The sequence below is a fragment of the Homo sapiens genome, chromosome 1, assembly GCF_000001405.40.
Source record: "Homo sapiens chromosome 1, GRCh38.p14 Primary Assembly".
Taxonomy (NCBI): Eukaryota; Metazoa; Chordata; class Mammalia; order Primates; family Hominidae; genus Homo; species Homo sapiens.
In genome coordinates, this window is record NC_000001.11 from 96,542,498 (window position 1) to 96,551,537 (window position 9,040).

General features: G+C 37.2%; 1 annotated feature.

Moving 5' to 3' along the window:
- Window positions 1,918-2,885: an enhancer, noted in NCBI's record as "OCT4-NANOG hESC enhancer chr1:97009971-97010938 (GRCh37/hg19 assembly coordinates)". NCBI's record gives its function as "activates a minimal SCP1, AML or CMV promoter by ChIP-STARR-seq in primed H9 embryonic stem cells {active_cell/tissue: H9 hESC(primed)}" and the evidence as "EXISTENCE:reporter gene assay evidence [ECO:0000049][PMID:30033119]".

A 9,040-nucleotide genomic window follows, 5' to 3' on the forward strand; every position in this document is an offset into this window, starting at 1 on the left:
CTGTGCCTACTTTCCAGTTTCCAGCCTCCATATCTAGTTCCTCCCACTGCTGATTGAGCTCAGAATACAGGTTCAGACCATGAAGTCCCTTGCATTCCAACCTAGATATTCTCCTACTCTTAGCTGATTAAAGCATGGAGTACTTTAGAGAAGCCAGATCTAGAAGAAAGATCACAGAAATCATTGGGCCACCTTCAGCTGACAAAAGGCTTTATTTCATCCACGTGATGTTTTAAAAATATTTGTGTCAATCATGAAATTTAATAAATCTCACACAAAACCCCTGGTTTTTGGTTTCTTGTGAGAAACCAGAAGCTCTTACACTATGCTCAAATTGTCCTATGGTGACACTCAGCTGACGCTGAGCAGGTTCTCTTCCAAAGGACAAATGTCCGCCAGCATATAGTCATCAGTGCTCCCTATGGCACAAAGGTTATTTAACATCACCCTGGCACTTACGGTTTTCTAATAGTAGAGAAAGATCTCTCTGTGCCCCTGTCTCTATCAAAAGTAGGAAAATAAGAGAAGTCCATGTATTTGAAGAAACATGCAAGAGAGAGACTATTGTGCCTCTGTGTGTGTGTGTGTAGGAATAGTCTTATGTGTTTAATAAGTAGAATGTGTAAGTATCGATGTTTTTATTTAAAACCCTGTCCACGTCAGCCATTTACATTTATCTTGATTCAGCCCCTGCCCTGAAAGATTGATAGAGCATCTGCAACCAAGTCAGTCTCTATAAATATTTCAAATAAATAGCAACCTATGCATAGTAATTTAAGGACCAATGAAAGTTGGTGTATTCATCGAGAATCTCCTGAACCTCTGGGTCATGCTTTATTCCACTTCCTCACCAATAGCACAGGTGCAATTGCCACTATTAGAGTCACATTTTAAATATGGAAACAAGAAGCTACAAATTAAAAGCAAATTTATTGTTTGAAGATAGCTTCTAGTCCTTCATTTATTAAACTCCTTCAACTAATATGTATTAAGCTTCTGTATGTACTTGGCACGGCATTGTGCACTTTATGTAATTGTATTTGCTGTCATTCATGGAGGGCCTACTGTATACTGGGGGTTCTACAAATCCCTTTCCAGATACTATATTATTTCTAATCCTCCAAGGTAGCAATTATTTGCATCTTACAGTAAAGAAAGTGGTGCTCAGAAAGCTAAACAACTGGCTGGGAACAGTGGCTTATGCCTGTAATCACAGCACTTTTGGAGGCCAAGGCAGGAGCATCACTTAAACCCAGAATTTTGAGACCAGCCTGGAAAATATAGCAAGACCTCGTCTCTACAAAATAATAATAATAAGCTAGACATGGTGGAGCCCACCTGTAGTCTCAGCTATTCAGGAGGCTGAGGTGGGAGAATTGCTTGAGCCCAGGAGGTCGAGGCTGCAGTGAGTCATTATTCCACCACCGCACTCCAGACTGGGCAGCAGAGCAAGACCCTGTTTCAAAAAAAAAAAAAAAGAAAGAAAAGAAAAGAAAAAAAAAGCTAACACTAAACAACTGGCCTATGGACACACCTTGTGTGTGGGATACCAAGACTCAAACCCAGGCCAGTCTAAATTCAAATGGAGATGGAGAATGGAGTCATCTGAGAATTGTTTGCTTAGATGGGTAAGTCTTTTTATATTGCTTAAAGCTGAATATTATACACCATGAACAGCAAAGATGACTTAGTATGAAACTCTACCATTCCCCCAAATAACCTAGAAGAGATTCGCCTACAGACAGGAACAATGGACTCACCCAACAAGACCCAGCATGTTTGTATTAAAGCCTTTATGTTTAATTTCTAAAATATCCTCAGCACTTTACAATATGAAACGCAGCTAATATTTTGTTGTAACCTGACTTCAGACTGCGTTCTCCATTGCAGGACTTCACTTAGCCTTCCATAATTTTATGATCAGATCTTACAAAAACTTTAACCTCTACATGTTAATAAATAGCAACAAAAATTCATATGTAGTGGCACAATGAAAAAAAGTAATAAAGCTGTTCATTACCCTTGACTCTTCTGCTCCTTTACCCTTGTTTTCCCTCTGCACGTGGTCAGAAATTGAATTGATATTGAATTTGCTTCACTTGTGTAATACTATTCATACACGCTTTTGTAATTCATTCACTTCACTCACATTTCACCTTTTGTCATTTCAATCACTTTAAATCTGCTTTGGCCTTCTTCACATTCAGTCTCCTAAGTTCCTGGGCATGAGTAGAGGATTTATTAACTTTACTTTCTGGGTTTCTGGTTACAGTAGGAATAATCTCATCAGGCGACAGGTTTAGATATTGACAACACTGCTAAAATAGCCCTGAAATAAAGTCTCAAGAGAAGATAGATGCCAGCCTTTCCTGGGCTGGACTTTCCCAAGAAGGCACACAATCAGAAAGTGTGGCCTTGTAGCCTTCAATGACAGTGTAAGAAGTGGCTAAATATGTGGGTTCTATAATCAGACAGACAGAGTTTGCATCTTGGAGTGCCAGTTCCTACCACAGGAACTTGAGCAAGTTACTCAGTCTCTGTGCGCCTCCATTTCCTCATCTGCAAAATGCATATAGTATCAATCACATAGGATTGTTTTGAGGATTAAATGGGGATATCTACATCAACCATTTACTCAGATGTGTTCAATAATATGCATTATTATTATTATGGTAGAGCTATGAAGGTGTAGAACTAATTTCCTCTCTTTCAGCATAGTCTGAAGAAAACATGAAAAAGGCATAAAAATAACACTACTTAACAAAGTAAAGAGTATATAAAGAATAACAACCAAAAAAACAAGCCTCATATAAAGTAATTATTTATTCAGGCCAACAGTCTAATGCCAAGAGTTGCCTTTAGTGAAAAAGGCTGGCTGCCCTTCAATATCATCTTCAAATGTTAACAACACTGAATATTAATAAATTTCCTTTAGCGAATAATGAATCCAGCCTTCCTTAACTAAATTCAAGTTCTTTGAGGGCGATCTTTATATTTGTCTTGTACAACTCTGGGATAATAGTATTCCTAGGGCCTGCTATTTGCTGTGAAAAGGGCAGAATATTTTACTCCTCTAGTTCTTAAATTTTAGAAATTTAATGAATGAATCACAATTTTATAGACTTATCAGTAGCCTACTTTCCCTTTCTCTTTGCACACAGAAGAGTGCTAATTTCTCAGTCTTGGGTGTAAAGGCAAAGCTGGTGACCAAAGACTTGATGTAACAAAACAGTCCGAGACCCAGGCCATGTCATAGAAAAGACATAGTTGACTTCCTGGGATCAAAAACGATAAGAGCACTGGCATGGGTCTGACTGATCCAGTCCTGCTTACAGTAGGGATAACAGATGAGGAGACACTGAATCCAGGTAAGCTTCAGATTTAAGCCAGGTTTAGCAAACTGGGTAGATTAAAAGAATCTGGGTGGAAAATTCTAAAGGCAGCTGGTTGCTCTGGCAAAGATAGAAAGTAAAGGAAATTTGATTATCTGGAGGCAACCTTGGTGTTTTTCATCTTAAGAAACCAGCGACTGTTACTGCAGGCCTGAATCTTAAAACACAGAAGTGATCTCCTCATTCATTCAGGATCACTGACACCTACATGTGTGGATAAAGCTACATGTGCCAACCAGACCCAAGGATCCTTTGCCAGCCAGACCTAAGAATCCTCTTATGAATCTAGTCCAATAGAGGCTGCCCTATTGGAGTCCTTATATTACATTTATCAAAATCTTCCCTTGTTATGCATGTTATAGGTGTTGCTCTGATAGCAAATGCCTTCAGACGAGGCCATAATAATAGACATTTTTGTTTGGTCTTATCAGGAAACTATTCCAGCACCTTTATCAAACAAAACTGCCCATCTCTCACCCCTTTCCAGGTCAGTTATTGCTTTTTAGAAGTGTAGGGACCAGAACGTGTTCTTCAAGGGTAACATTATACTTTCTATTTTCATTCTAATACCCTGCTTGGCGATGCCAAGAACACTCTGACCTTTTTTTTTTTTTTTTTTCCCCTTACTGCTACAGAGTCTTAAAGACCTGAGACTCCATGGTCTCTTAGAAGCAGTTCAATCCAGCCACTATTTATTGAGCATTTACAGAGGATAAAAAAGAAGCAAAAGGCTCAGTCTTGGCAAAAAGCTCAAGTAGATACTATACTCATGAAGCCATAAACTTATGAACATCTTATATAAAAAACAGCAACATATTATTAGGTGCCAGACACTAGATTGCAAATATTTCAGAAATTTAAAAGAATCCAGGTGCTTTTAAAGCAAATATGTTGCTGGGATATAATAATGGTAATGTAATTCTTCCATAAATGGGACATATGTAATAGAACGAATTCAGTGATTACTTTTCTATTAGTTGTGGTTCAATGGTAAGATATTTGCCCAAGATCTTATTGCACATTCTCAAGGGACATACACAGGAGGAACATTCAGGCAAATACAGATTAATATTAATAAGAAGCCTCGGTGCTCCTGGCCATTAACAGGTAGGCCGTCTCACATATAAGCTGGAGGAATTTCTTCTAAATCACTGGCCTAAGGCCTAGGCCAGAGATGGCAAATACATAGCATAAGGATTCTTCTGCTTCCTGAGACAAATAACAGTCTTTTTCTCGCTGAGCCCAAAAATGGCCACAGAAATTTTCTCAAGTCAGCGCTGTTGTTGACCATCACCAAAAATCAGAAATTGGCCTTGTAGACCTGTTTGTCAACCTGACCTGCTATCTAAGCATGGCTTAACTCATATTTCAGCCTGAGTAAAGAGGTAAAACCTCTACCCATGTCCTAATAAATTCTTGGGATGCTTTCTATCTTTATGATTCTAACAATCTTGAATCAGTAATAATTGCAGACACTTATTTATGGAAGACCTTCATTTCTAAATAAAAGTGGAAGACATGGGTATAGTTTTGGTTTAACATGCCAGCTGTGTCAAGAAATACATAGTATGCTCTGATAATAGAAAATGTGTTTCTTGAGTAACTGTATATTAAAAGCACACTGTATTAGGGTTCTCCAGAGAAACAGAACTGATATAATTACACAGAGAGAAAGAAATTTGTTTTAAGGAATTGGTTCATGTGATTATGGACAAGTTCAGTATCTATAGGGTAGGCCAACAGGCTAGAGACCCAAGAAGAGCTGATGTGGCGCTTCAAGTCCTAAAGCTGTCTGTCAGTCTGGAGACCCAGGAAGAGTCCATGTGGTAGTTTAAACCCAAAATTCATCTACTGACAAAATTCCTTCCTGCTCAGGGGAGGTCAATCTTTGTTCTGTAAGGCCTTCAACTGATTGGCTGAGGCCCATCCACATTATGTGTGCTTCACTGAAAGTCCACCCAGTTAAAATGTTAATTTCATCCAAAAAACATCCTCACAAAAAACATTCAGAATAATGTTTGATCAAATACCTGGGCATTATGACCTAGTCAAGTTGACACATAAAATTAATCATAGGCTGTTATAAATATGAATTACTAAATGAATTATAAATTAATGTGAAAATAGTATTAGTTATTTCCAATTCATAATCCGCAAAATCTGAAATCACCTAGTATGAATGAAGTGTCTTCACAGCCACTTGGATGATTTGGTGAGGGTGTCCTCCACCCTGGAACTTTGCTTTCGGCAAAGCTTTCATTCTTTTGGGCAACAGTGGCCCATATCAAAGACTATGAAATTTAAACTTAACAATTGCAAGAGAGTAATATTATCTGAAATTTTACAGTTGATGTATCCAAACAAGAAAGTTTATTTATAAATCCTGTAGTAAATGCCATCAAAAGAAAAAAAAATCCTATCATCAAAGTAGCAAACTCATGCAGTCTCATTGCCAAATAGCGTTAAAAAAATAAAACTTCAAACAGTATGGAAAATCATTTTTTTATTATACTGACTTTTTGTGTTTTCTTTTAAATGCTAATATATAAAAATACTGTCAAGAATCGAATCCAGAATATAAAATAACTCCTCCAAATTAATGTTTAAAAAGCAACCTAATAGAAAAAAATGGTAAAAGATGTAACAATGAAAAAATCTACTAGTGTTCAGAGAAGTGCAAATTTCCACTATGAGATAACACTTCACATCAGAAATATTGTCAAAAATTTAAAATCCTGGTATCATCAGATGTTGGAGAGAAAATGGAGCAACAGGAATCGTTCTGTACAATGAAACCGCATTGGAGAACAATTTAACCACATCAAGCAAAGTGGAAGCTGCATGTACCTTCTGGCCAAGGAATTCCAATTCTAAGAAATTCATGCACACGTGCACAAAAGGATATACTAAAATATTTGTAGTAGTATTTTTTTTTTCATGATAGCCAATAGACTCCTACTCTTGGGAATAGGAGAATGAGTAAATAAGTTGTGGCATATTCACGGTTTTTTTAATCTCAAAAATATTTTGTTAATGAAAAAGGTAATTGCATAAGAAAGATTTTTAAAATACATGACAACACTCTACATTATTAATGTACAGACTGGAAGTAAGAAAATAATAAACATTCAATTAACCAGGGAGAGAAAGGAAAAAAAAATGAATCAGGATGGGGTTTAAAGAAGCTTCAATTAAAACTGATTTTTTTTTTTTAAATTTTAAAAAGAAACTGAGTAGGTGCAGTGGCTCATGCCTGTAATCCTAGCACTTTGGGAGGCTGAGACTGAAGGATCACTTGTGCCCAGGTGTTCAAAACCAGCCTGGGCAACTTAGCAAGGCCCCATTTCTTTTTTTTTTTTTTTTTTTTTTTTTTTTGAGGCAGAGTCTTGCTCTGTTGCCCAGGTTGGAGTGCAGTGGTGCTATCTCGGCTCACTGCAACTTCCATCTCCCAGGTTCATGCCATTCTGCCTCAGCCTCCCGAGTAGCTGAGACTACAGGCACCCGCAACCACGCCCCGCTAATGGGGTTTCACCGTGTTAGCCAGGATGGTCTCGATTTCCTGACCTTGTGATCCGCCCGTCTCGGCCTCCCAAAGTGCTGGGATTACAGGCGTGAGCCACTGCGCCCGGCCCCACAGCAAGGCCCCATTTCTACAAAAAATAAAGAAATTAGTCAGACATGGTGATGTGTGCCTATAGTCCTAGGTACTTGGGAGGCTGAGGTGGGAAGATTGTTTGAGCCAGAGAGGTTGAGGCTGCAGTGAGCTGTCATTGTGCCACTGCACTTCAGCCTTGGTGGCAGTGTGAGACTCTTCCTCTAAAAAAAGAAAGAAAGAAAGGAAAGATAGGAAGGGAGGGAGGGAGGGAAAGAAAGAAAGAAAACTGAAGTAAATGTGGCAAACTGTTACCATATGTTGAGTCTGGGTAGTGGGTACACATGTGATTATTCAAATTTCTCTAGATTTTCTGCTATTTGAAATATTGTATACTTATTTTCCAAATAATTTTTAAAGCATAAGACTTTTCTTCTGGGTTTATTTGTTTTGTATAGTTAAGACAACTTTTACAAAAGAAGTAAATACAGAAAAATGTAACTGTATGGGAAATCTTTCAAATCAAGCCTTGGGTTCAGGACAGAAAATGTCATTTCTGACCTTCTCGGAATGAGGCAACAGTATCTTCTCTTCCACAGAGCTCTATTCTTTCCAGAACCAAGGACCTCTTTTTTGTATTTGTTTTAGTTTTTCAAACCTCTGCCTGTAAAATTACTTACTTTTTCCCTTCATCACCAGTGACTGTGGAAGGGATTTCCTCACATCCTTTCCACAGCTCCTGTGGCTCTCTGCATGACTTCAGTCCCATGAGTGTTGGGTTGATATCAATGGCCAGCATTTGACTAGATAGGCAGTAAGAAAATTTGGATTCCAGGTGTAAGATTTTACTGCTCTGTGGACTATTTTCCTAGCTATTCATGTTTTGGGATTATATATAGATGCCTCAATTCCCACAAGTGTAATGTGGAAATGATGCCATTTCTAACTGTAGAGGAGTACTTGTACATTAATACAATAAGAAGAATAAATTTTCTGCAAGAGCACCAAACAAGCCAATCTGCTTCTTAATCTTACTCATTAATCCCTGACCTTGTTCAATCCATTCCTTTGATTCATCCATTAATTCATTCAATGAACAAATTTTCATTTCGTACCTACAACATGCAAAAAATAGATAAGAACTCAGGAATTCTCAAACATGCCATGTCATTCTTTTTACACAATATATGAGCTAATGGAAAACATACAAACTCTTCAGAAGGAATGAAAGGTGTTTGATCTGAGAGGACACTTCAAACACATAGAGTAGACTCTAAGACCACATGCAGTTATAGGTGGGAACAAATTTAAAAGCTGACAGAAGGCGTTGTCCAAAGCACAAGTAAAAAACAATGTTGTAGATGACAGGACAGCACATTTCATTCTTTGCTATATAGCTGTGGCATTCAGGCTTTGTGATTTAATAAACCAATAAAATTTCCCTCCCAAATTATACATGGTGGCCAAATTTTATTTTCCGAATATTGTCATTAAACTAACAACGAACCAAATCTTGCCATAGTCTATCATCAAATTTAATTAGAAGAAAGTACATAATTATAGAGTAAAAACAGTCCTTTCAGTGGATGAACTATTATTTTTCTCATTTTGCTATGATTTGAAAAACCCTACTATAGTGTCGTAGAATGATGTAGTTTCATTGATTTAATAAATACGTTGACTTCCTACCATGTTCCAGAAATTCTTCTAGGCATTTGTAGTACATCGTGAACAAAATGAAGATTCTTGCCCTCATTCTAAATTATGAAAAAGAAATAAAGTTTATGATGATGGTTAATTTAGCCTGAAATAAAAAACCTGCTCTTCATGTTGAATTATAGAATTTTCTACTAAAATTAAATGCAGATCTTACATTAAAGCAAACAAACCTGCTCCTTTTTGTAAAATACAATGGGACTTTACTAAAATTAAAGGGAAATTTTGATGCTTCATTTCAAGTTAAGCAGTAAGTTTAAGGTGGAAAACAGAAAACTACGTTCAGTTGGCTGAATATAGAAGTAGAAGTTTATTTTGATAATATTAAAATCTGCACTAT